The sequence below is a fragment of the Homo sapiens genome, chromosome 17 (assembly GCF_000001405.40).
Source record: "Homo sapiens chromosome 17, GRCh38.p14 Primary Assembly".
NCBI classification, from domain to species: Eukaryota; Metazoa; Chordata; class Mammalia; order Primates; family Hominidae; genus Homo; species Homo sapiens.
Genome location: NC_000017.11, coordinates 31,888,288 through 31,916,008, shown reverse-complemented (window position 1 = coordinate 31,916,008; position 27,721 = coordinate 31,888,288). Strand labels below are relative to the sequence as shown.

General features: G+C 43.9%; 1 protein-coding gene across 4 annotated transcripts in view, besides 4 other annotated features; it reads left to right on the top strand.

Annotated features, from left to right (window-relative positions):
* Positions 14,042–14,633: an enhancer, noted in NCBI's record as "H3K27ac hESC enhancer chr17:30228395-30228986 (GRCh37/hg19 assembly coordinates)". NCBI's record gives its function as "activates a minimal SCP1, AML or CMV promoter by ChIP-STARR-seq in primed H9 embryonic stem cells {active_cell/tissue: H9 hESC(primed)}" and the evidence as "EXISTENCE:reporter gene assay evidence [ECO:0000049][PMID:30033119]".
* Positions 14,301–27,721, top strand: part of UTP6 (UTP6 small subunit processome component) — a 40,805-nt gene continuing 27,384 nt past the window's right edge. For 3 of the 4 annotated variants that reach the window (XM_011524997.4, NM_018428.3, XM_047436391.1), the window contains exons 1-7: positions 14,301–14,473; positions 16,279–16,363; positions 20,998–21,039; positions 21,272–21,364; positions 23,215–23,262; positions 23,686–23,749; positions 26,606–26,724. In XM_011524997.4, the coding sequence (XP_011523299.1) occupies positions 14,382–14,473; positions 16,279–16,363; positions 20,998–21,039; positions 21,272–21,364; positions 23,215–23,262; positions 23,686–23,749; positions 26,606–26,724 (543 nt within the window). In that variant the 5' untranslated portion in view covers positions 14,301–14,381. Of the gene's footprint in view, positions 14,474–16,278; positions 16,364–20,997; positions 21,040–21,271; positions 21,365–23,214; positions 23,263–23,685; positions 23,750–26,605; positions 26,725–27,721 lie in introns of those variants that run through there. The other variant, XM_047436390.1, reaches the window with a different exon arrangement.
* Positions 14,307–14,356: an enhancer, noted in NCBI's record as "active region_12022". NCBI's record gives its function as "activates an Ori minimal core promoter by ATAC-STARR-seq in GM12878 lymphoblastoid cells {active_cell/tissue: GM12878}" and the evidence as "EXISTENCE:reporter gene assay evidence [ECO:0000049][PMID:35858748]".
* Positions 14,677–14,826: an enhancer, noted in NCBI's record as "active region_12021". NCBI's record gives its function as "activates an Ori minimal core promoter by ATAC-STARR-seq in GM12878 lymphoblastoid cells {active_cell/tissue: GM12878}" and the evidence as "EXISTENCE:reporter gene assay evidence [ECO:0000049][PMID:35858748]".
* Positions 25,887–26,066: an enhancer, noted in NCBI's record as "active region_12020". NCBI's record gives its function as "activates an Ori minimal core promoter by ATAC-STARR-seq in GM12878 lymphoblastoid cells {active_cell/tissue: GM12878}" and the evidence as "EXISTENCE:reporter gene assay evidence [ECO:0000049][PMID:35858748]".

The window sequence follows — 27,721 nt, the reverse complement described above, 5'->3', positions numbered from 1 at the left end:
AATGAAGTTATTTTAAATGAATAAGGGGGTTTGTAGCCAAAAGCGGCCTCTAGCCTACAATACCTGTGTGCTTAAGGGCTGGAGTTTATGTGATCCAATTTGAATGTGGGTTTTTGAGCAGACCAAGGCTGTAAAGGAAAGCAATAATAGAACTATTTGTGTGAACAACTTGAGGGCTTTTTAAATGTTAATTGGTACCTGGACAGCTCCCAGGTTGTGGACTCTTGAAGTCAGATACGGAGAAAAGGGGGTGGAATTTGTGAAAGAGACAGAATATGCTATATTTATTATCTTATTAGCAAGTAGAAAAATTAGGGAAATGATTCACTTTACAAAAAATGGAAGATGAATCACAAGCCTCTTAAGAGGGAGTTGTCTCTGGTGTTTAAAAACAATGTATAAGAGAAAAGCTCAGATATTTCAGTCATTTGCTGTGAAGTGACAATCAGAAGTTAAGGTAAAGGAAATTTTCATCTTAATATTCCACTGAACCCTAAAAAGTTGATGGAACTAGGATTTGAATCAGAGTTTGATTCTGAAGCCTCTTCTTACTTTTTTTTTTTGGTCTCCATTAAAATGTTTTATTTAAATAGAAATTACAGGTCAGGCGCAGTGGCTCATGCCTGTAATCCCAGCACTTTGGGAGGCCGAGGTGGGGGTGCAGATCACCTGAGGTCAGGAGTTCGAGACCAGCCTGACCAACACGGAGAAACCCTGTCTCTACTAAAAATACAAAATTAGCCGGACGTGGTGGTGCATGCCTGTAATCCTAGCTACTCGGGAGGCTGAGGCAGGAGAATCACTTGAATCTGGGAGGCGGAGGTTGTGGTGAGCCAAGATAGCACCATTGCACTCCAGCCTGGGTAAAAAAAGCAAAATTTCATCTCGAAAAAAAAATAATAATAATAGGTTGGGCGCAGTGGCACATGCCTGTAATCCTAGAACTTTGGGAGGCCAAGGTGGGTGAGTCACGAGGTCAAGAGATCGAGACCATCCTGGCCAACATGGTGAAACCCCATCTCTACTAAAAATACAAAAATTAGCTGGGTATGGTGGTGCACGCCTGTAGTCCCAGTTACTCGGGCGGCTGAGGCAGGAGAATCTCTTGAACCTGCGAGGCAGAGGTTGCAATGAGCCGAGACTGTGCCACTGCATTCCAACCTGTAGATGGAGTGAGACTCCATCTCAAAAAATAAATAAATAAATAAATAGAAATTACAAATATGATATGCCTTTGTTATATTACTTAACAATATAGCAAGGTATAAAGTCCCTTTTCCACTTCCCAGAGTTTATCAATATGAATGGTTTGGTGGGCAATCCTCCAACCTTTTTTTTTTTGAGATGGAGTCTCACTCTTTGTCCAGGCTGGAGTGCAGTGGTGAGATCTCAGCTCATTGCAACCTCTGCCTCCCGAGTTCAAGCAATTCTCCCGCCTCAGCCTCCCTAGCAGCTGGAATTACAGGCGCCTGCCACCACGCCCGGCTAATTTTTGTATTTTTAGTAGAGAGGGGTTTCACCATCTTGGCTAGGCTGGTCTTGAACTCCTGACCTGGTGATCCACCCCACTAAGCCTCCCAAAGTGCTAGGATTACAGGCTTGAGCCACAGTGCCTGGCTGCTTTTTCTTTCTTTTTTTTTTTATGACACATACACATACACATATTTAAAATGGATTATTCAATATACTGTTCTGCAACTTGCCTTTCTAAAATTAAGCAATGTAAATTAAGCCTATTTCCATCCCATTAGATACACACACTCCTTACTTTCTTTAATAGTTGCATAGTATACTATTGCATGGATGTACTATAATTTATTTAACCACTTTTCTTATACACCATTTGGGATCTTTCAGATTTTTTGCTCTTATCAACATTGCTTCAGTGACCATCCTTATATATGTTTGTGCACTTTTGTTAGTATTTCTGTAGAACAGATTTGTAGATGTTGGAATTATTGGGCCTTAAAGTATGTATGTTTAAAATATTGGTAGATACTGCCAAAGTATACTTAAAATAAAGCTGGTGGTCTTAACCGTTATGCCCCACTGCCCCTCAAGCAAAGTAGTGAATACATTTTAAAATAGCTGGCTTCCTTTGTGGTGGTGGCAGCTATGTGGACTCATAGGGGTGAGCTTCTCATGGAGAAGGAAAAAGAGAAAGACTGTGAACAAGTCTTTGAAGCAGAAAGCCCTTTTCCTTAGATATTTTGTGTTTATCCAAGGCAATGGTATTAACTGAAACTTTGCAGGTTAACTTTGGGTTTGTGGCTTTCTTGTGGTTCGTAAATTCTCACTATTCAAAATACATGGTATTTGAATTTCTTTTTTTTTTTTTTTGAGACAGAGTCTCACTCTGTCACCCAGGCTGGAGTGCAGTGGCGCGATATCGGCTCACTGCAACCTCCGCCTCCCGGGTTTAAGCGATGTTCCTGCCTCGGCCTCCTGAGTAGCTGGGATTACAGATGTCTGCCACCATGCCTGGCTAATTTTTGTATTTTTAGTAGAGACGGGGTTTCACCATGTTGGTCTGGCTGGTCTCCATCACCTGACCTCATGATCTGCCCGCCTCAGCCTCCCAACGTGCTGGGATTACAGGCATGAGCCACTGCGCCTGGCCAGTATTTGAATTTCTAACAGTATGCTACTTTTGTGGTAATATAAATAAATAATTGTTAAAAGTGGCTGAATGATCTGTTGCTGTAAATCCAGAGTTTTGAACTTATTTAAAGCAAGGTGGCCGGGCACGGTGGCTCACACCTGTAATCCCAGCACTTTGGGAGGCCGAGGCGGGCGTTCACTTGAGGTCGGGAGTTCAAGAACAGCCTGACCAACATGAAGAAACCCCACCTCTACTAAAAATACAAAAATTAGCCGGGTGTGTTGGCGCATGCCTGTAATCCCAGCTACTTGGGAGGCTGAGGCAGGAGAATCACTTGAACCTGGGAGGCGGAGGTTGTGGTGAGCCGAGATCACGCCATTGCACTCCAGCCTGAGCAACAAGAGTGAAACTCCGTCTCAAAAAAAAATAAAAAAAAAAAAATAAAAAAATAAAGCAAGCTGCATTCACACTGTAACTGTATTCTAGCTTGCCACAGGAGGGCAACCTTTAAAGGAGAACCAAATGGCTACAAAAAGAACACTCCTTTGTGCTTCCTAATAATTGTTCAAAGCTCCAAGGGTCAATCACCTTAGGATGTGAAGAATATCGCCAATGTATCATTTGGCAGAAAATACGAAAATGAAATACCCTGGCTCTTCTAGATGTGACAGCAATTATATAAACTAAGAATGGCATTTTTGTTAGGTTTTGGGAGTTGTAAAGAAAAAAGACACTCCCTTAAGGCACCTCAGCAATTTGGCATTATTGTAAATTGACACAGAGAATAACAAGAAGCACAAAGCTTCAAGAGAATTGGATTCAAGACAGCTCAAATGAGACCTTAACTGCAGTTTGTGGATCTTCACTCCAGGGTGCTCTTATTAATGTGATTCATTGACTCTCCATTTTCTCTTAGGTACCGTGTTCCTTTTTCCTGCACTTTGCCCTGTATATCTTTTCTATACTTCATAGTTCCTACATACTCATATTTATTGCTCCGTTACATCTTTGCCTTGTCAAGCTCCTCAATCTCCTATCTCTAACTAATGGTAATTCGGAGTCCAGAGAGGGAGAGTTAGATTAGTTCAGTTCATCTTTTCATACCAGGGTACATTATAGGATTTTGGCCAACCAGTGGATTGGTTGCCCTTGAGCCAAGAGCTTACTTGTGATCTTAGCCATAGTGGCAAATTGCCCAGGATCAAGTGGTCAGATTAAAGTAGCTGTAGGTTCATCAGTTTCCTTCAGGAAGCATTTTGGGCATATTAGACACTGGGATTCTTACAATAGGTGGCATGCTAAATGTCCAGTAGTTTCCTTTCAGATAGTGTTTATTGAGTACATACCTAATGTTTTCCAATGCTAGGTTTTGGGGAATTCAAAGATAAATAAAGTATCCATGGAAGTCACAGTGTCACTAAATACAGACATATGGATTCAAGAAATGTTGTAACCAGCCTGGGCAACATGGTGAAACCCCGTCTGTACTAAAAATGCAAAAATTAGCTGGATGTGGTGGCAGGCACCTGTAATCCTAGCTTCTCGGGAGGTTGAGACAGGAGAATTGCTTGAACCCAGGAGACAGAGGTTGCAGTGAGCCAAGATCGTGCCACTGCACTCCAGCCTGGGCTACAGAGCAAGATTCCATCTGAAAAAACAAAAAACAAAAACACAAACAAACAAAAAAACCACAAATGTTGTAATCGGCAGTGGCTCATGCCTGTAATCCCAGCACTTTGGGAGGCTGAGGCGGGTGGATCACCTCAGGTCAGGAGTTCGAGACCAGCCTGGCCAACAGGGTGAAACCCCATCTCTATAAAAATACAAAAATTAGACAGGCACGGTGGTGCATGCCTGTAACCCAGCTACTCAGGCAGCTGAGGTTGGAGAATTGCTTGAACCTGGGAGGAGATGAGCTGTTATCAAACCACTATACTCCAGCCTGGGCAACAGAACAAGACACCGTCTCAGGAAAAAAAAAAAGAAGAAAAGAAAAAAAAAAGAAGAAAAGAAAAAAAAAAGAAATGTTATAATACAAGCTAAGTAGTACTGTACAATTATACAAATATACATTCAAAAATTTCAGTTCCAGCCAGGCTTGGAGGCTCAGCCTGTAATCCCAGCACTTTGGGAGGCCGAGGCGGGTTGATTACCTGAGCTCAGGAGTTTGAGACCAGCCTGGCCAACATGGTGAAAACCATCTCTACTAAAAATACAAAAATTAGCTAGGCATGGTGGCAGGTGCCTGTAATCCCAGCTACTCGGGAGGCTGAGGCAGGAGAATTGCTTGAACCCAGGAGGCGGAGGTTGCAGTGAGCCGAGATCGCGCCATTGCACTCCAGCCTGGGTGACAACAGCAAAAATCCCTCTGCAAAAAAAAAAAAAAAAAAGCCAGGCACGGTGGCTCACGCCTGTAATCCCAGTATCTTGGGAGGCCAAGGCAGGTGGATCATGAGGTCAGGAGATCGAGACCATCCTAGCTAACACGGTGAAACCCTGTCTCTACTAAAAGTAGCTGGGCATGGTAGGGGGCGCCTGTAGTCCCAGCTACTCAGGAGTCTGAGGCAGGAGAATGGCGTGAACCCGGGAGGCGGAGCTTGCAGTGAGCCAAGATTGTGCCACTATACTCCAGCCTGGGCGACAGAGCCAGACTCTGTCTCAAAAAAAAAAAAAAAAATTTCAATTTCATGGAGCTTATGCTTTAATGTACATATGAGGAGAGACAAATAATAAACACTATTATAGTATGTTAGATGGCGATCAGTGATATGGAGAAACAAAAAGTAAGAATGTAGAATAAGAAGTATTGAGGTGAGGGGCTGCAATTGGTAATAGGAGAGGCCTCCCTGAGAGAGTGACATTTGAGAAAAATCTGAAGGTGGTGAGGGAATGAGCCATACATTTATCTGGGGAAGAGAATTCCAGGCAGGGAATAGCCAGGGCAAAGGCCCTGCATTGCCATGTTGAAGGGATACCAAAGAGGCTAGTGGATCTGGAGTGGAGGGAGCAAGGGATCAGAGTGGGAAATAAGGTAAGATATGGCAGGAGTGTGGTACCGGGACCAGATCATATGGGAACTTTTCTGCAAACAAAAAGATTTTTTTTTTTTTTTTGACAACATTTCACTCTTGTTGCCCAGGCAATGGCGCAATCTTGACTCACCACAAACTCTGCCTCCCGGGTTCAAGCGATTCTCCTGCCTCAGCCTCCCGAGTAGTTGGGGTTATAGGCATTTGCCACCTTGCCTGGCTAATTTTGTATTAGTAGAGACGGGGTTTCTCCATGTTGATCAGGCTGGTCTCGAACTCCTGACCTCAGGTGATCTGCCTGCCTTGGCCTCCCAAAGTGCTGGGATTACAGGAGTAATCCACCGCACCCAGCCATGAAAGGGTTTTAGTTTTTGCTTTGAGTGAGTCAACCACAGCAGGGTTTTAAGCAAGAGAATGCTGTCCTCTGACATATTTTAACACAATCATTTTGGCTGCTGTGTTAAGAATAGACTTAAAGGGGCCAGAGTGAAAGCAGGGAGACCAGTTGAAGACTACTGGAATAATCCAGGTGAAAGATAATGGTGACTTGAACTAGGGTGACAGCAGTAGCTGTGATGAGGAGTGGTCATATTTTGGCTATATTTTGTAGAGCAGAGAGGATCGCTGATTAATTAAATATAGAGTCAGGGACAACTCCAAGGCTTTTGGGCTGAGAAACTGGAAGAACGGAGTTGCCTTTCACTGAGATGGGGAAGACTACGGAAAGAACAGGTTTGTGGGAGAGCATCAGGTACTTGTTTTTAGACATACTAATTTTGGAATGCCTGTAAGCTCTCCAAGTGCAGATGTTGAGTAGGCAGCTGGATATACTGGCATGAGTCTGGAGTTCAGGGGACAGTTATGGATTGGCACTACTAATATATTTGGAAGTTATATAGGTCAGTGTTGTCCAACATGGCAGCCACTAGCTACATGTGACAATTTAAATTTAAATTTAAATTCATTAAATGAAATTAAAACTTCAGTTCTCGGCTGGGCGCAGTGGCTCACACCTGCAATCCCAGCACTTTGGGAAGCCGAGGTGGACGGATCACTTTGAGGTCAAGAGTTTGAGACCAGCTCGGCCAACATGGTCATGGAAACCCTGTCTCCACTAAAAATACAAAAATTAGCTGGGTGTGGTGGTGGGTGTCTGTAATCCCAGCTACTCAGGAGGCTGAGGCAGGAGAATCACTTGAACTCAGGAGGCAGAGGTTGCAGTGAGCCGAGATCATGCCACTGCACTCCAGCCTGGGCGACAGAGTGAGATTCTGTCTCAAAAAAAAAAAAAAAATTCAGTTCTCAGTTGCTCTAGCCATATTTCAAGTACTCAATAGCCACATGTAGCTAATGGCTACTGTATTTACTGTATTGGATAGTGCAGATGTGGGACACTTCCATTATTACACAAAATTCTATTGAACAGCACTGATGTAGGTGACATTTGAAGTCATGAGTCTGTAAAAGATCACTTATAAAATTGATATTAAGGGAAAAAGAGATTCAAAGACTGAAGCCTTTATGTTTCTGTACTTAAATATACAAATTGGTGGTGAGGGTGGGATGATGAGGTGGTAAGGGCATGCTTCCTTTTTATTTATTTATTTTTTTAAATGAACTGTGCTTACTAAGTGGATAAGGGGGCAAAAGACATTCCAGGCAAAGGGAATAGTGTGTGTTAATAGAGGTATAAAATGATATGATTGGGGAACTGTAAGAAAGCTGGCATTTCTGGAGCAAGGCCACATTATTTTAGTATAGTTACACACACACCCACACACACACACACCCACACACACCCAACTCCAAACCTCTTCTTTGCTTCAACACTTTGGGACTGAGCATGTGGTGCTGAGGCTAATCAGTTTAGGTCTAATTGGAAGGCAGAATGAGAAGGGGAGAAAGAATTTTCCTTGTCACTTGTAAATTGTGAATGGGAACAAATGTAAGCATTAAATTTAGGGAAACAAATACTGCCTCCTAACAAGTTTTTTCAGTGATAGAAATCAGATGTGATAGCCATTTTTAATTTTAGGAAGTCTTGTTCAAATAAAACCTAAAAGTTATTTAAGCTGGAGCTGGATTTCTATCTGGACTAGGGCAAACTGGAGGTAAGCTGATGTAGCTAATCAGCTATGGCTTTCATGAGACATATTCACGCACACAACAATCCCCAGGCACCATTCTGGAAGCCCAATCATTTCAGAATATGTTTTTTCAAGATGTCAGTTTGTTTTAATAGTAGGTTGTTATACCCAAACTACCATATTCTTAGTTTTCCTTTTTGTATTTTTTTTTCAAGTTTGCAAAAAGCAGTAACTTAAGCCACAGGGAAAAAAGCACAAAACTGTTTTTCACCAATTAAAAGGAACCCTTTCTATTTACATGTGTTTTAAACTAAAATAGCCTTAAAAAAGGTAAAGATTTCATTAGAATAAAAAAAGCTTAAAAATAGAATCTATTAAGATCTTGCGTTATCATTCAACGCTCTTTGCAGTTAAAAATCATGTCATTATTTCCATTATACTTACCTCCTGTTTTTCTGGGCATATTAGCCTGGCTGTAGAAACTTGCTCCAGTTGAAATTTGGCAAGCTGACAAGGCTGCGTGCCAGAAGTAATTTACTATCCAGTGCGGTTTGCAAAGTAAAAGAAGCTATAAATAATAGAAAAAGAAATGAAAAGTTACTGGTTCCAAATATTTTAATGTGTGTAAAGTGTGTCACCTCAAACTTTTCAGCTTTTGTTGTTGGCAATGTGAGATAACATGAAAGGTTTGAAAAGTACAGATGCTTTGCATTCGCATCAAACTGAGGGCTCTGATGTTCTTAGGCATCAAAGACCAGTCTGCGTCTATCACTTCTCTGACTTTGAAGTCTACAAGCGCTCTCTGTATGGGAGAATCAGGCAGGGGACTTGGAACAAGGCAGGGGGATGGGATTCCAGGTGCCTTGCCTCTTATTATGGCTCAAACTAGGTACTTCCCTTTATCAAATAATAATAATGAAAAAAAAGATGAGCATCTCTTTCTCTGCTGTTTTTAACCACGGAGCTGTCTGAGAACTTCAAATGTGACAATGTGAATATTCCAAGGAAAAGTTCAAGTTTACTTTGAAGTTTACTTTTAAGTACTTTGAAGGCAAGAACAGAAATTTTAACTTAATTTGCAAACATCTGGCTAGTGTTCATCTGGCAATCTTCTTAAAAGATTCTGTTGGCACCCTGAGACCCCTCTCATTTTCCAGACTGGCTCGTGAGCACCACAGTGGGGACCAAGTGTTTGGTCACCATGGGGTGATCAGGGTACATCTTTCTGTGATCAATCTTACAATCTGGAAAAAAAATAATTTATATTAAAGCAAATACTAATATATCATGGGCTAGAAAGCAAAATTATCATAAACTCTTTTGGAAAGGGAAAAAGACATTGACCATTTGAGTTTCAATATTTCTGACCCTGCCACACACATAAAAATAACAATTGAAGCTCTTGAAGAGCTTCAATATGTTGAAAGAGAGAGTCTGGTAAGTAATTTTTTGTTAATTAAAGTGTAACTTCCATAAAGTGTAGATTTTTTTTTTGGAGATGGAGTCTCACTTGGTCGCCCAGGCTGGAGCGTAGTGGCATGGTGGCTCATGCCTGTAATCCCAGCACTGCAACATCCACCTCCCAGGTTCAAGCAATTCTCCTGCCTCAGCCCCCTGAGTAGCTGGGATTACAGGCGCACGCCACCATACACGGTTAATTTTTATATTTTTAGTAGAGATGGGGTGTCACCATGTTGGTCAGGTTGGTCTCAAACTCTTGACCTCAGGTGATCCACTGGCCTCGGGCTCCCAAAGGGCTGGGATTACAGGCTTGAGTCAGCGCACCTGGCCAGGATTTTGAGACATTGCGGGCTTTATGCAAACAGTTTCTTCTTCTGTCTTGGGCTTTCTCCAGTAGGTAGTTTTTTTTTTTTTTTTTTTTTTGAGGGGAGTCTCGCCTTGTTGCCTGGGTGGGAGTGCAGTGGTGCAATCTCAGGTACTATCTCTCTTTTTGAGGGCTCCTTCTATGAGTTGATATTTCAAAATATTTATGTGATGCTATTAGGTGAGTTAATACATAAAGGACTTTGGCCAGGCATGGTGGCTTATGCCTGTAATCCCAGTACTTTGGGAGGCCGAGGCAGGTGGATCACCTGAGGTCAGAAGTTCAAGACCAGCCTGGTCAACATGGTGAAACCCCGTCTGTACTAAATATACAAAAATTAGCCAGGCGTGGTGGCGGGCGCCTGTAGTCTCAGCTACTCAGGAGGCTGAGGCAGGAGAATCACTTGAACCTGGGAGGCCGAGGTTGCAGTGAGCTGAGATCATACCATTGTGCTCCAGCCTGGGCAACAAGAGCGAAACTTCGGCTCACAAAAAAAAAAACAAAAAAACATAAAGGACTTAGAACAGTGCACATAGTAGCTGGGCACACAATAAGCCCTACATAATGACAGCTTTTTTTTTTTTTTTTGAGACAGAGTCATGGGGTTTCACCATGCTGGCCATGCTGGTCTTGAACTTCTGACATTGTGATCTGCCAACCTTGGCCTCCCAAAGTGCTGGGATTACAGGCGTGAGCCACTGCGCCGGGCCAATGACAGCTATTATTATGAGATGCAGAAGTGAAAAGAAGGCTTTGTCATTTCTGTCATAATAATTCTTTTTTTTTTTGAGACAGATTCTCATTCTGTTGCCCAGGCTGGAGTGTAGTGGCACGATCTCGACTCACTGCAGTCTCTGCCTCCCGGGTTCAAGCGATTCTTGTGCTTTAGCCTCCCAAGTATTTTTTTTTTTTTTTGAGACGGAGTCTCGCTCTGTCTCCCAGGCTGGAGTGTAGTGGTGTGATCATGGCTCACTACAACTTCCGCCACCCAGGTTCTAGCAATTTTCCTGCCTCAGCCTCCAGAGTAGCTGGGATTCCCGCCACCATGTCTAGCTAATTTTTGTATTTTTAGTGGGGGGGTATTTCACCATGTTGGCCATGCTGGTTGTGAACTCCTGACCTCAGGTGATCCACCTGCCTTGGCCTCCAAAACATCATAATAATTCTTTCTTTTTTGGGACAGAGTGTCGGTCTGTCACCCAGGCTGGAGTGCAGTGGCGTGATCTTGGCTCACTGCAACCTCCATCTCCCGGGTTCAAGCGATTCTCCTGCCTCAGCCTCCCGAGTAGCTGGGACTACAGGCACGCACCACCATGCCCGGCTAATTTTTGTATTTTTGGTAGAGACGGAGGTTTCACCATGTTGGCCAGGCTGGTCTCGAACTCCTGACCTTGTGATCCACCCACCTCGGCCTCCCAAAGTGCTGGGATTACAGATGTGAGCCACTGCGCCTGGCCCATCATAATAATTCTTGAAGGTAAATATAAAAGCTAGGCAGGGCGGGGTGGCTCACATCCCAGCACTTTGGGAGGTGGAGGCGGGTGGATCGATCACAAGGTCAGGAGTTCCAGACCAGCCTGGCCAACATGGTGAAACCCCGTCTCTACCAAAAATACAAAAATTAGCTGGGCGTGGTGGCGTGCGCCTGTAGTCCCAGCTACTCAGGTGGCTGAGGCAGGAGAATCGTTTAAACGGGAAGGCGGGGGTTGCAGTGAGCCGAGATCATGCCACTGCCCTCCAGCCTGGGCAACAAACTGACACTCCGTCTCAACAACAACAACAACAACAACAACAAGAATATATACATAAACGCTAAATTTTGGCCAGGCGTGGTGGCTCATGCCTGTAATCCCAGCACTTTGGGAGGCCGAGGTGGGCGGATCACCTGAGGTTAGGAGTTCGAGACCAGCTTAGCCAACATAGTGAAACTCCGTCTCTACTAAAAAGACAATAATTAGCTGGTCGTGGTGGTGGGCGCCTGTAATCCCAGCTACTCGGGAGGCTGAGGCAGGAGAATCACTAGAATCTGGGAGGCTGAGGTTGCAGTGAGCCAAGATCACGCCACTACACTCCAGCCTGGGCAACAAGAGCAAAACTCCATCTCAAAAAAAAAAAAGCTAAATTTCAAAATAAGGGAGGATCGCTGGGCGTGCTGGCTTATGCCTGTAATCCCAGAATTTTGAGAAGGGGAAACAAGATGATCACTTGAGGCCAGGAGTTCAAGACCATGGTGACAATACAGTGAGACCCTGTCTCTATTTACAAAAACAAAAACACCATCCTCGGCAACATAGTGAGACCCCTGTCTCTACAAAAAAGAAAAAAGGAAAATTAGCCAGGTGCGGTGGGGCACACATGTAGTCCCAGCTACTTGGGAGGCGGGGGTGGGAGCATTGCTGGAGCTCAGGAGGTTGAGGCTGCAGTGAGCTGTGGTCACACCACTGCACTCCAGCCTGGGTAATATAGTAAGACCCTGTCTCAAAACAAAACAAAAACGTAATTAGGCCGGGCATGGTGGCTCACGCCTGTCATCCCAGCTACTCGGGGGATCGCTTGAACCCAGGAGGTGGAGGTTGCAGTGAGCCGAGAGCGCACCACTGCACTCCCCATTAGGCAACAGAGAGAGGCCACCAGGCCCAGCTAATTTTTTTGTATTTTTAGTGGAGACGGGGTTTCTCCATGTTGGCCACGCTGGTCTTGAATTCCTGACCTCAGGTTATCCGTGGCCTCGGCCTCCCAAAGTGCTGTGATGACAGGTGTGAGCCACAGTGCCTGGCCAGCGAGGCTCGGTCTTAAAAAGAACAACAAAACAAAACAAAACAATATAAAGGAGGAGCGTATTTATAGTTAGTTTGATTTAAAAATTGGGCGGGCGCGTTGGCTCACGCCTGGAGTCCCAGCACTTTGGGATGCTGAGGCGGGTGGATCATGAGGTCAGGAGATTGAGACCATCCTGGCCAACATGATGAAAACCTGTATGTACGAAAAACACAAAAATTAATTGGGTGTGGTGGCACGTGCCTGTAGTCCCAGCTACTCGGGCGGCTGAGGCAGGAGAATCCTTTGAACCAGGGGAGTCGAGGTTGTGGTGAGCCGAGATCGCGCCACTGCACTCCAGCCTGGTGACAGAGCGAGACTCTGTCTCTAAATAAATAAATAAAATAAAATAAAATAAAAATCATGGTTAATTTATGAAGGTCTCTATCAAATTTACTTTGAAATGATTACAGTCTGTCATAACTTGCTGACTTCCTTGTACCTAAAGAAATTTAGCAAGTACCTTTTCTTAGTGTCATGCATTTATTAACTGAGTACTTATTATATGGTAGGCACTGCTATAAGCTGTAGAGTATCTAGCCAGTCAAAAAGGAAAAAATTCCCTGCCCATATGGAGTTTACTATCTAGTGTCATCTCCACTCTTACTGTTAACACAGCCCCAGAGATTTTACTTTTACAAATAAATTCTATCTTTGTCTTACATTCGTGATTTCCTTCCACTTCTGACATGTCTTACAGCTGAAGGATTCAAGAAATGGTGTAGCACAAGCCAACCCTCGTCTCAGTTCTGAGATGAGTGGGTAAAATGTGAAAGGAAAGAAAGAAATGCAAGGCACAGAGGTGGAACATGGTTTTGCTGAGCCCATTCTCCTTTCATAAATCACACACAGGATCCAGGTGCTAATGTGAATGTTGAAATAAGCAGATTTAGCAAGAACTGCTGCTTTGGCTTTTTTATATCCAGAACTAAAAAAGAACTGAACCATGTAGTTATCATTTGAGGTTTACTAACTATACCAGCAATATTGCCTCCAAGCTGTGTTGCCTGGTGTTTCTCTTAGAAATGCTAAGTTGCTTGGGCAATGGTTTAAGGAGGGTGTCTATACCTTAGTGATTTATTTTGGTAATTCTCAAACTTTTCAATACAAAAATCTCCTTTTCTAAAAAGAATTTATAGTGTCTGATATTCACCTAGGGACATATATTTTGAAAGCTATTGCTTACAAAGACAGGATATTGATTTAAATAATAAACAATTCTATTTTATTTATTTATTTATTTAGAGACGGAGTTTCACTCTTGTTGCCCAAGCTGGAGTGCAATGGCGCGATCTCGGCCTCCCAGGTTCAAGCGATTCTCCTGCCTCAGCCTCCCGAGTAGCTGGGATTACAGGCGCGTGCCAGCACGCCCAGTTAATTTTTTTGCATTTTTAGTAGAAACGGGGTTTCATCATGTTAGCCAGGATGGTCTCGAACTCCTGACTTCAGGTGATCTGCCCGCCTCGGCCTCCTAAACTGCTGGGATTACAGGCATGAGCCACCGCGACCGGCTTTCAAAAATGTTTAATTGTACAATATCCTCCTCCTTTGCTTTTTTTTTTGTTGTTGTTCTTGGTGTTGGGAAGTCAGGACGTGGGATGGGAGACAATATTCTGAAGAAAATGCATCTCGTGTCCCTTTCAGGCTTGAGCAGCCCACCTCTCTACACCTGGAGGCGCTTTTCCTGATGGCTGTCCAAGTCTAGCGGCGCGCGCACTTAACCCCTCCCTCCCGTCTAGCCCCGCCCCTCAACTCCTGTCCGCTAGAGTCGTCCTGCCCAAGACCAGGGCGGGTTCTCGCTGCAATCCCACAATCGGCCACAGGGAGGGGACGGTGGCTGTAGAAGCCGAAGGGCCTTCCCCTAAGTAGGAGGTGGCGGAAGCGGAAAAGGCGGGACCTAGGGAGCACGTTACGTCCGGACGCGTCGGTGGTAGGGCTGGGTCTCCGAACCTGAAACCGGGAGCTTCCTGCTCGTGTTCGCTGTTGAGAAGCTACCCGCGGGGTTGTAGACCTCGGACCTCATGGCAGAGATAATTCAGGAACGCATAGAAGATCGGCTCCCGGAATTGGAACAGCTGGAGCGCATTGGACTGTTCAGTCATGCGGAGATTAAGTGAGAGAGGGTTGGGGAGAGGGAAGAGCTGAGGCGGCCTGAGGGGAGGTTGGGAGTGTGTGGCAGGGGCTAGATGTGGGGACGCTCGACCTGTGTTTACTTTTCCTAACGTGGTGGAAGCCCATTTCTCGTTTTCGGTGATGTCCAGAATTAATTTTTCATTCGTTGCAAGGTAATCCGTCCGTCTACTTACCCATCAGACGTTTTGACAGCCCTTCATGGAGCCGGGTCTTAGGGCTGTAAAGGTGATAAACCCAGGATTCCTGCTCATTAGGAGCTAATTGGGCAGAGTGTGGTGGGGGAGACAGACAAATTAAATATTTTGATAACAGTGTACTGTAAGTTGATTGTAGTACCTTGTACTGCTGTAGGGATGGGAACAGAGTGCTGTGAGAGCCCAGGGGGAGTGGATAAATTCCTAACTAGACTTGAAGGTGGGGACCATTGAAATCAGTTTCATATGCTACTCCAGAGCCTAACTACAGCGCCTGGCACATGGTAGACATTCAGTAGCGTGTTAAAATTATGTTTAATAGTTTTTAATGGTTTCTGTGACTGTTGCTTTGTTTTGCAACGTCTGAATGTAGTAATGTGACTCAGAGCTTCAAAGTAAGCATTCGTTAATGAAACACAAAACAAAGCAGTGTGGACGCTTAGAAAGTGCTCAGTTAAGGTTAATGTTACCATTACTAAAGACACCTGTCTTGCACATCTTGCATTAAATTCTCCTAATATATATTTGTCATATGTTCATTCCTTAGCTAAGGACTCTGAATCTTCTCCCGTAAGTCCTTCGTAGTAATAAGTCTTTTAAGGCAGACGCAATTTAGATTTTTAAAAAAATTTACATGTTGAGAACTCAGAAATAAGAGGAATTTCGGAAAGAAATTTATTATTAAAATTTAAGTGACCTGAACTTGGAGTAAAAGAAGTCTTTATTAATACCAGCCAGGCGCTGTGGCTCACGCCTGTAATCCCAGCACTTTGGGAGGCCGAGGTGGGTGGATCACGAGGTCAGGAGTTCGAGACCAGCCTGGCCAATATGGTGAAACCCCGTCTCTACTAAAAATACAAAAATTAGCTGAGCGTGGTGGTGAGCGCCTGTAGTCCCAGCTACTCGGGAGTCTGAGGCAGGAGAATCGCTTGAACTCGGGAGGCCGAGGTTGTAGTGAGCCAAGATCATGCCACTGCACTCCAGCCTGGGCGACAGAGCGAGAAAAAAACAAACAAAAAAAACACCATACATAAATGGTATAAAGTTCTTAATTGTATTTGCTTTGCTGGTGGGAATGTCATTGGTTTTGGGAGTTGATTAAGATGATTTTCCTGAAAGTTTAAAAATGAACCCTTAAGAACACAAAAGTAATTGTGTAAGAGAATACTTTTTTTTTTTGAGATGGAGTCTTGCTCTGTCGCCAGGCCAGAGGGCAGTGGCGCGATCTCGGCTTACTGCAACCTCCGCCTTCCAGGTTCAAGCAATTTTCCTGCCTCAGTCTCCCGAGTAGCTGGGACTACAGGCACGCACCACCACGCCCAGCTAATTTTTGTATTTTTAGTAGAGATGCAGTTTTACCATGTTGACCAGGGTGGTCTCAGTCTCTTGACCTCTTGATCTACCCGCCTCAGCCTCCCAAAGTGCTGGGATTCCAGGCATGAGCCACTGTGTCCGGCCGATAATACTTTCTTATGAAAGATAACTCTAGGAATTTCGTATTTTGAAAAACATGTTTTAAATATATTCAAAATAAACTTAAACGTTTAATTTTTGCAGTTTTCAAGTGAAGTTTAAATGGCTTTCTCCTCAGGGCTATCATTAAGAAGGCTTCCGATCTAGAGTACAAAATCCAGAGAAGAACCCTTTTCAAGGAAGACTTTATCAATTATGTTCAAGTAAGTGTGTAATTAATAATTTCTTTCTTTTTTTCTTTTTTGTTTTTTGGTGAGATGGCATCTCACTCTGTCACCCAGGTTGGAGTGCAGTGGTGTGAATGGTGTGATCTCTGCTCACTGCAACCTCTGCCCTCCAGGCTCAAGCGATTCTCCTACCTCAGCCTCCTGGGTAGCTGGGACCATAGATGCATGCCACCATGCCTGGCTAATTTTTTGGTAGAGACTGGGTTTTGCCACATTGCCCAGGCTGATCTCAAGGGATCCACCCACCTTGGCCTCTCAAAGTGCTGGGCTTACAGGTGTGAACCACAGTGCCCGGCCAATAATTAATAATTTCATTACTTTTTTTTGAGGCAGGGGCTCGCCTTTCACCCAGGCTGAAGTGCAGTGGTGCCATCATGGCTCAGTGTAGCTTCCACCTCCTGAGCTGAAGCCATCCTCCCACCTCAGCCTCTGGAGTAGCTGGGACTACAGGTGTGTGCCAGTATGGCTGGCTAGCTTTTGTGTTTTTTGTAGAGACAGGGTTTCGGCATGTTGCCCACGCCCAAAATGCTGGGATTACAAGTGTTTGTGAGCCACCGGGCCCAGCCTTACTTTTTTTATTTTTGTTTTTGAGACAAGAGTCTTGCTCTGTCACCCAGGCTGGAGTGCAGTGGCGCGATCTTGGCTCACTGCAACCACTGCCTTCCGGGTTCTAGTGATTCTCAAGTCTCATCCTCCTCAGTAACTGGGATTACAGGCGTATGGCACCGCACCCAGCTACTTTTAGTAGAGACTGGGTTTTGCCATGTTGGCTAGGCTGGTCTCGAACTCCTGGCCTCAAGCAATCCACCAGCATCGGCCTCCCAAAGCGAGTGCTATGATTACAGGCATGAGGCATCATGCTCGGTCCTAGCCTTACTTTTTAATCCCTTCACAAATTGATTGATTGGTTGATTAATTGAAATAGAGTCTCTCTGTGTCACCCAGGCTGGAGTGCAGTTGCACAGTCTCTGCTCACGCTCACCGCAACCTCCGCCTCCTGGGTTCAAGTGATTCTCCTGCCTCAGCCTCCCATTCCTTCACAAATTTAAAATCAGTTCTAGAATGATGAGCTTAACATCAAATTTTTTTTTTTTTTGAGATGGAGTTTCACTCTTATTGCCCAGGCTGGAGTGCAGTGGTGCGATCTCGGCTCACTGCAACCTCCGCTTCCTGGGTTCAAGCAGTTATCTGCCTCAGCCTCCTGAGTAGCTGGGATTACAGGTGCCCACAACCACGCCAGGCTAATTTTTGTAGAGACAGCGTTTCACCATCTTGACCAGGCTGGTCTTGAACTCCTGACCTGGTGATCCACCCGCCTCGGCCTCCCAAAGTGCTGGAATTACAGGCATGAGCCACCACGCCCGGCCAACATCAGTTTTTTAAAAAAATTAAAAGAATTCCAGAAACGTTCATTAGATAGATATTTCTGAACAGGAGTAGCATTGGGAGTAGCATTACTCCACTAAGACTGTAGTCCTGGCCAAACTGAACTTACTTTTCCCCTCCTCTTTCTCTCTTGTCGTTTTCTTTCTTTTTTTTTTCTACTGGGTTTGTAGATCAGAGATTGTCAGAGACATAGTGTGTATCAGGACTTCAGCAAGAGATTTGCCTCTTGGTGAGCAAGATAGAGGAGAGTGAATGTGATGAGTGTAGAGAATTGAAAAGTTACTGCTTGTTTATCTATTGTCTGTCCACTTGGAAAGAGGTGTACTGCAAGATTTTTTCATCTTGTAAATGCATGGAAGGTTTGAATAAAGAAAAATTATGTCAGACCAATTTTCCAGTGGGGGAGAATAGCTAATATGTTGGATGACGGAATCAGGATTCAGAAAGAACCAATAACAAGATCACATGTTTATAAGACTAGAAGTTTTGGTTGGGCATGGTGGCTCATGCTGTAATACCAGCACTTTGGGAGGCTGAGGCAGGCAGATCACCTGTGGTCAGGAGTTCGAGACCAGCCTGGCCAACATGGTGAAACCCCCATCTCTACTAAAAATACAAAAATTAGCCGGGTGTGGTGTTGGGTGCCTGTAATCCTAGCTACTCAGGGGCTGAGGCAGGAGAATTGCTTGAACCCAGGAGGTGGAGGTTGCAGTGAGCCAAGATTGTGCCATTGCACTCCCAGCCTGGGAGACAAGAGCGAAACTCCATCTCAAAAAAAAAAAAAAAAAAAAAGACTAGAAGTTTTGAGCTTAGATTTAAAAAGACAAAAGACAGCCGAACAAACAATATATGAACCTTGGCTAAGCTATTGTTTTTGGAAGAGGTCCTATGAGTAGATTGCTCACTCAAAATGAGCCAAGACCATATTATGTCAAAAATAGATTTTTTTTTTTCCAAATAATACACTCACTCTTGCCCAGGCTGGAGTGCAATGGTGCGAGCACTCATTGCAGCCTCGAACTTCTAGGCTCAGATGATCCTCCTGCCTCAGCCTCCCAAGTAGGTAGGACTACAGGCTTGTGCCAGATGGCTGGCTAATTTTCTTATTTTTTGTAGAGATAGGGTCTCCTTATGTTGCCCAGGCTGGTCTTGAACTCCTGGGCTCAAGTGATCCTCCTGCCTTGCCGTACCAGAGTTTTGGGAATTACAGACTTGAGCCAGTGTGCCCAGCCAAAAGATTTCTTAAAGCTAAATTAGACTGTGAAAGCACAAACCATGAGAGAAAAGACTGATTTATTTGATTGTGTTCAAAATACAAATTTCTGGAGGGGCGTGGCGGCTCACGTGTGAGACAGGCAGATCGCTTGAGCCCAGGAGTTCAAGACCAGCCTAGGCAACATGGCAAACCCCATCTCTACAAAAAATACAAAAATTAGCTGGGCATGGTGGTGCACACCTGTAGTCCCAGCTACTCTGGAGGTTGAGGTGGGAGGATCAGTTGAACCTGGGAGGTGGAAGCTGTAGTGAGCCATGATGGCGCCATTGCACTTCAGTCTGGGTGATAGAGACCCTGTCTCAAAAAAAAAAAAAATTTTTTTCTGTGCAAAAAAGACACTACAAATAATGTGAAAATACAAGCCACAAAATGTGAGAAAATATTTACAACACATAATTAGAACTACATATACACATATATAAAGAACTGTAAATCGAGAAGAAAATGAAAACTAAAAAGAAAAATGGGCAAATCATGTGAACGTGAAAGTCACAAAGGGGAAACATCACTTGTAGTTAAACTTATGAAAAGACATCAGCCTTATCAGTAATTAGTTAAATAAAGATTAAAACAAGGTGTAGGGGCCGAGCGCGGTAGCTCATGCCTGTAATCCTAGCACTTTGGGAGGCTGAGGCGGGTGGATTACTTGAGGTTGGGAGTTGGAGATCAGCCTGGTCAACATGGTGGAACCCCATCTCTACTAAAAATACAAAAATTAGCCAGGCACGGTAGCACGTACCTGTAATCCCAGCTACTGGGGAGGCTGAGGCAGGAAAACTGCTTGAATCCGGGAGGCGGAGGTTGCAGTGAGCCTAGGTTGCGCCACTGCACTTCAGCCTGGGCGACAGAGCGAGACTCCATCTCAAAAAAACAAACAATAAAAAAAAACCAGGTGTAGGACTGCTTTATATTCATTATAAGAGCAAACTTTTTTTTTTTTTTCTTTTTTGAGATGGAGTCTCGCTCCGTCACCCAGGCTGGAGTGCAGTGACATGATCTCGGCTGACTGTAACCTCTACCTCCTGATCAGCCTCCCAAGTAGCTGGGATTACAGGCACACACCACCAGCCTCGGTGAATAGGGATATAGCTAAAGGGATAATGTTGAGTAGAAATATGGATTGATGGGCCGGGCACGGTGGCTCATGCCTATAATCCCAGCACTTTGGGAGGCCAAGGTGGGTGGATCACTCGAGGTCGGGAGTTCAAGACCAGCCTAGCCAACATGGTGAAACCCCATCTCTACTAAAAATACAAAAATTAGCCGGGCATGGTGGCAGGCGCCTGTAATCCAAGCTACTCGGGAGGCTGAGGCAGGAGAATCTCTTAAAGCCAGGAGGCAGAGGTTGCAGTGAGCCGAGATTATGCCACTGCACTCTAGCCTGGGCGACAGAGGGAGACCCCGTCTCAAAAAAACAAAACAAAACACCTATGGATTGATGGATGTAGCATGATACCATTTATGTAAAATTTAAAGGCATTCAAGACATCATTATAATAAAGTCCAAAGTCATGTTTGGGAATGATAACAAAGTCAAGGTAATTGCTGCCTCTGGAGAGGGAGAAGAGTAGAATCAGAGATAGGTACATAGGTAGCTTCATTTTTATACGAACTGTTTTATTTCTAAAAAAGATTTGAAGCAAATGTAGTGCAATGTAGGTTTGGTGTAGCTGCATTGTAGCTGCATGGGGTGTTTTATATGCTTGAAATATTTCATGGAATAATTTTTAAGTGAAGCATGTAATTATAAGCTTGTTAATTCTGTTTAAGTTTTATAGCTAAGTGAATTTTAAGTGAGTTCTAGACATTTATTGTAAATTATGTGATAGCACATTATTTTTTATTTTATATTCTCGATTTTTGTTTTATGACTTTAACTAAATTTCCAGTATTTAAAAGGTTTTAGATTTTCTAGCTTCTCATTTTTTTGTATGTTTTTCTTTCATAGTATGAAATTAATCTTTTGGAGCTGATCCAGAGAAGAAGAACAGTAAGTAGAAGATTTTCTAGAAGTTGGAGAAAAATACAGAACTAAGCAGTATGGCTGTATAGTTAGGACTTGTGTTTGGGAGACAGTGTTGATAAAACTGTGGTGATATGCCTATAATGGATATTTGTAATTATTTGTTTGCTTCATCAGTACCATTAAGTGGTCAAGTAGGAATGCTGTTTTGGACAAATATGATTAAGTTGAGGCTCTGTTTTTTTATGTCCCCCTTTAGCGCATTGGATATTCATTTAAGAAGGATGAGATTGAGAATTCTATTGTACACCGGGTACAAGGTGTTTTCCAGCGTGCCTCAGCAAAATGGAAAGTGAGTGATCAAGGCATCCTTAACTTTATGAGATGTGAAGATAAGTATTATACATATTGTATTAGGGATTCAAATGCAGTTTTCTATTTTTATCTTGGGTATCTTTATACTTACTCTAATGATGGTATCATTACTCAAAACATTTTTTGAGCCACTTAACAAACCAGTAAGAAAATTGATCTTATTACCTTATAGTTATTCTATGAGGACAGTGCTGAAAACAGTGTATTTGATACATTACTAAGGATTGGAAATTTGGGAGATATTTGTATATATTTGTAAGTACACTGAAGACTTAGAGCTAGAAAATAAATGGTTATGTAGGGGCAATACCTCAGAAACTTGATTTTTTTTTTTTTCTTTTTTTTTTTTTTTTGAGATAAGGTCTCACTGTGTTGCCCAGACTAGAGTACAGTAGGGTGATCTCGGTTCACTGTAACCTCTGCCTCCCAGGCTCAAATGATTCTCCCACCTCAGCCTCCCCAGTAGCTGGGATCACAGGCGCATGCCACCGTGCCTGGCTAATTTTTGTATTTTTGGTAGACATAGGGTTTCGTCATGTTTTTTAGGCTGGTCTCGAACTCCTGGGCTCAAGTGATCTGCCCACCTCAGCCTCCCAAAGTGCTGGGATTACGGGAGTGTTTGGGATTGGGTATATTATATGAGAAGTATTTTGGATTCTTGGTAATGACAAATTTTATATTGCTACCCCAGATTGAGATTCTTTAAGAACTGCATTAAACCAACTGGATAGATAACAAAGTTTTTTTGGAGCATTGTGAGTGGGAGTTGGGGGAAAGGTTGAATTATCATAGTTAAGAGATCGGAGGCCTTTGTGAGGAAGAGCCAGATAGGATGAGAGGTGACTGGATTTTCTGAAATCTGCTTCTTTTTTTTTTTTTTTTTTTTTGGTGGGGGATGGAGTTTTGCTCTGTTGCCCAGGCTAGAGTGCAGTGGTGTGATCTTGGCTCACTGCAACCTCTGCCTCCCAGATTGAAGCAATTTTCCTGCCTCAGCCTCCCCAGTACCTGGGACTTCAGGCACGCACCACCGCGCCTGGCTAATTTTTGTATTTTTAGTAGACAGGGTTTCACCATCTTGGCCAGGCTGGTCTCAAACTCCTGACCTCAGGTGATCCACCTGCCTCAGCCTCCAAAAGTGCTGGGATTACAGGCCTGAGCCATTGTGCCTGGCTTTTTTTTTTTTTTTTTTTTGAGGTGGAGTCTTGCTCTGTCACCCAGGTTAGAGTGCAGTGGCACACAATCTCGGCAGCTCACTGCAACCTTCGCCTCCTAGGTTCAAGTGATTCTTCTGCCTCAGCCTCCCTAGTAGCTGGGATTACAGGCACATACCACCACACCTGGCTAATTTTTTTTGTTTGTTTTTTTGAGTTGGAGCTTCCCTATGTTGCCCAGGCTGGAGTGCAGTGGCCCGATCTCGGCCTCCCGGCTTCAAGCGATTCTCCTGTCTCAACTTCCTGAGTAGCTGGGATTACAGGGGTCTGCCACCAAGTCCGGCTAATTTTTTTGTATTTTTAGTAGAGACGGGGTTTCACCATATTTGACAGGCTGGTTTTGAACTCCTGACCTCAAGTGATCAATCCGCCTTGGCCTCCCAATAATCTTTGTAATTTTAGGTTAGGTGGGGTTTCACCATGTTGGCCAGGCTGGTTTCAATCTCCTGACCTCAAGTGATCCGCCCGCTTCGGCTTCACAAAGTGGTGGGATTACAGGTGTGAGCCACCGCATCCAACCTGAAATTTGCTTGTTTTTAGCAAAATTAATTAATGCAAAGGTGTATTATATGTAAAGGTCAAATTTGGGCAGCTTACTACATTGCTTTTCTTGCAGGACGATGTTCAACTTTGGCTCTCCTATGTGGCTTTTTGTAAGAAGTGGGTGAGTAAAGCCATGCATGTCTTGCTTCCTCTGACCGTCTTTTTGTTAATCTGCCCTTTAAGCTTCATGCCAGATGTTTTTTCCTGAAGTGTAGGGTTAACATGAAAAAAGAACCCAAGAAGGCGGAACATCAATATAACATTGGATATCTGAATGACTATGGTTTCCAATTCAATTGAAAAGAATATAATTTTTACGTGTGTTTGTTCAATACAGTTGACTTTTTAAAAAGATATTTAAAGTGTTTAGTGGTTTAATTGAGGTAGAAAATTTTGAGGGTCTGTGTTCGTTTATATATCCCTAGCAATAGCATGTCATGCTCCATTGGATTTTACAGTTGGTAAAGTTAGGGTACATATTACTTAGAGAGTAAGATCAATGATTTATCTGTGCAGGAAGTAGAAATATTTTCCTTTTTTACAGGCTACTAAAACTCGACTTAGCAAGGTATTCTCTGCCATGTTGGCGATTCATTCCAACAAACCAGGTATGGTGAAATCTTTGTCAATTTTTCTATGTTTTATTTAGACTCAAGCCATTTTGGATTTTATTTCGATTGATGAATCTAAGAGAAATTATTTTGAGGACTTGAGCTTAGGCAGTTGGCCTCAGCAGTTTTTCTTACTGAATAGCTGCCTCATAGTTCACCCCTGCCTACTATATACTAGTTACTGTCCTAGGTGTTGTATCTGCAGGCAAGAAGGACTGTATTTCTTTTTTTTTTGAGACGGAGTCTCGCTCTGTCGCCCAGGCTGGAGGGCAGTGGTGTGATCTTGGCTCACTGCAACCTCCGCCTCCCAGGTTGAAGCAATTCTCCTGCCTTAGCCTCCTGAGTAGGTGGGATTACAGGTGCCCGCCACCACGCCCAGCTAATTTTTGTATTTTTAGTAGAGACTGGGTTTTACCACGTTGGTCAGGCTGGTCTCTCGAACCCCTGACCTCGTGATCCACCCGCCTTGGCCTTCCAAAGTGCTGGGATTACAGGCGTGAGCCACCACTCCCGGCCAGACTGTATTTCTTTTTAGATGATGGCAAAATAAACTTTTGAATCCTTTGTGGGACATTTTATTTGGAGGCAGTCAAATCTGAGGAATTTTAGAAGCTTAAAGGGGAAAATATCAATATAAATTTTAGAAGAGTGCTGGTACAGAGTAGACTCATGTTTTGTAAGAGAAATATTTCTCTTGTGAATAATGTATAAATGGTCTAGTTGATAGTGGAGGGGCCTCAGCACCTATTCTCAGGGTATTAGGCTTAATCAGATATCTTATACCACACAAGACTCAAATAGACTACATTTGGCACCAGTTTACTCAGAAATATAGCAGGATAGCCTTAGGTATGTTCCTTCTGCAGAATGCTCTTAGCAGAATGGAGGTAGCCTCTGGTTCCTAAGGTGACTGTTCAGGTATGAGGAGATGAGATCATATCAGTAGGTAGGGGATCCAGTCTGGTTTAGAAGCCCCATGGATGGGCATGGCTTCTACAGATCCTAGAAAGGTCATGCTCAATTTTAGGAGTCACATGTTCAAGGAAGCCCAAAGCAATTGCTTGCCACCATTGCTGACCCTTCTATTCCAGGTGTGGTTACCAATCAGGCGTCATTTTTAACAAAAGCAATCTTGATAAGATAGGTGACCTTTATTAAATGTCTAGGGAAATAGCTAGAATGTTAACTCAGGGTTAATTTCCCATGTAGAAGGACAAAGGGTTTTAGAGAAAATTATGAATTATAATTTATTTTATTTTTTATTTTTTTGAGACAGAGTCTTGCCTCTGTTGCCCAGGCTGGAGTGCAGTGGTGTGATATCAGCTCACTGCAACCTCTGTCTCCTGGGTTCAAGTGATTCTCATGCCTCAGCCTTCTAAGTAGCTGGGATTACAGATGTGCACCACCACGCCTGGCTAATTTTTGTATTTTTAGTAGAGATGGGGTTTCGCCATGTTGGCCAGACTGGTCTCAGAACTCCCAGCCTCAAACGATCTGTGCACCTCAGCCTCCCAAAGTGCTGGGATTACAGGAGTAAGCCACTGTGGCTTGCCCTATAATTTCTCTAAATATTGAGAAAAGAGCAAAAAATAATTTTATTTGTGGTAAGATAAGCAGTTTTTTCTGGACTTTTTTTTTTGACATGGAGTCTTGCTCTGTCGCCCAGGCTGGGGTGTAGTCGTGTGATCTCAGCTCACTGCAACCTCTGCCTCCCAGGTTAAAGTGATCCTTCTGCCTCAGTCTCCGTAATAGCTGAGACTATAGGAGGGTGCCACCACGCCTGGCTAATTTTTTGTATTTTTTAGTAGAAACGAGGATTCACCATGTTGGCCAGGCTGGTCTCAAACTCCTGACATCAAGTGATCTGCCTGCCTCGGCCTCCCAAAGTGCTGGAACTACAGGTGTGAGCCACTGTGCCTGGCCTTTTTCTGGCATTTTACTACCTTTAAAATTTGTATGTGGGCCAGGCACGGTGGCTTATGCCTATAATCCCAGCACTTTGGGAAGCCGAGGCAGGCAGATCATTTGAGATCAGGAGTTTGAGACCAGCCTGAGCAACATGGTGAAAACCCATCTCTACAAAGTTACAAAATTTAGGTGGGCGTGATGGTGTATGCATGTGGTCCCAGCTACTTGAGGGGCTAAGGTGGGATTCTGGTAGGTGAAGACTGCAGTGAGCTGTTGTTTGTGCCACTGCAGCCTGAGCAACAGAGCAAGACCCTGTCTCAAAAAAAGAAAAAAATTGTATGTGACTTACAATAATGTCCTTAGATCTGATGAAAACAGTAACAGACACTTAGGTACTCATCCTCTAAATTGAACATTTGTTATCATTTACTCATTTGCTTCAGAATACTGTTTCTAATTTTAGATAACGTAGCCAAGCTTTGCAGTTAGAAACTGTCTGTCCGAACTGCTTCCCCTTTTGTTAAAGGTTTTTTTAAAAAATTGTTTGAGTGGGCCGGGCGCAGTGGCTCATGCCTGTAATCCTAGCACTTTGGGAGGCCGAGGCGGGCGGATCACGAGGTCAGGAGATTGAGACCATCCTGGCTAACATGGTGAAACCCCGTCTCTACTAAAAATACAAAAAAAATTAGCCGGGCATGGTGGCGGGTGCCTGTAGTACCAGCTACTCGGGAGACTGAAGCAGGAGAATGGCATGAACCTGGGAGGCGGAGCTTGTAGTGAGCCGAGATTGCGTCACTGCACTCCAGCCTGGGCGACAGAGTGAGACTGTCTCAAAAAAAAAAAAAAAAAAAAATTGTGCGAGTATTAAAATTGGATCATTTGGTTCTTTTCTTGTCTGACTTGATTAATTTATTGAAATGAAATCTGATGGTTTTTCACTTACAGCTTTGTGGATTATGGCAGCCAAATGGGAAATGGAAGATCGATTGTCTTCAGAAAGCGCAAGGCAACTATTTCTTCGCGCACTGCGCTTTCATCCAGAGTGCCCAAAACTTTATAAAGAAGTGAGTGTGTATGCACATAGGATGAGACAGTGATGTTTCAGTTTGGTCCTCTGGAGACATATTTTTTTTTCCTGGATTCAAGCAATTCTTACGCCTCAGCCTCCCGAGTAGCTGGGATTACAGGTGCCCGCCACCATACCTGGCTATTTTTTTTGTATTTTTAGTAGAGGCGGGGTTTTGCCATGTTGGCCAGGCTGGTTTCACTTTTTTTTTTTGAGACAGTCTTGCTCTGTTGCCCAGGCTGGAGTGCAGTGGCACGGTCTCGGCTCACTGCAAGCTCTGCCTCCTGGGTTCACACCATTCTCCTGCCTCAGCCTTCCGAGTAGCTGGGACTACAGGTGCCTGCCACCATGCCTGGCTAAATTTTTGTATTTTTTATTAGGGATGGGGTTTTACCATGTTAGCCAGGATGATCTCGATTTCCTGACCTGGTCATCCGCCCGCCTCCACCTCCCAAAGTGCTGGGATTACAGGCGTGAGCCACTGCGCCCGGCCCATGTATTCTTTATTAAATAAAAAAGGCTTCAATTTATGGAGGCTAGGAATAAGTGTGGAGGTGTGGGTAAGGACAAACATCTTTTTTATTTTTTGAGATGGAGTCTCGTTCTGTTTCCCAGGCTGGAGTGTAGTGGCCCGGTCTTGGCTCATTGCAACCTTTACCTCCTGGGTTCAAGCAATTCTCCTGCCTCAGCCTCCTGAGTAGGTGGGATCCCACGTCCGGCTAATTTTTGTATTTTTAGTAGAGATGGAGTTTCGCCCTGTTGGGCAGGCTGGTCTCAAACTCCCGAACTCAGGTGATCTGCCTGCCTCAGCCTCTGAAAGTGGTGGGATTACAGGTGTGAACCACCATGCCCGGCCAGGGAAAAACATCTTTTTGTAGGTGTTGACACTGCAGCTTCTAAGTTAGTTGAGAGGTTGGAACCCCCGCCTCCTTCCTGTGGTTGGAAGGAATAGGGAACTAGACTCTAACATTTTTTTAGCTGGGAGCCAGATTTAG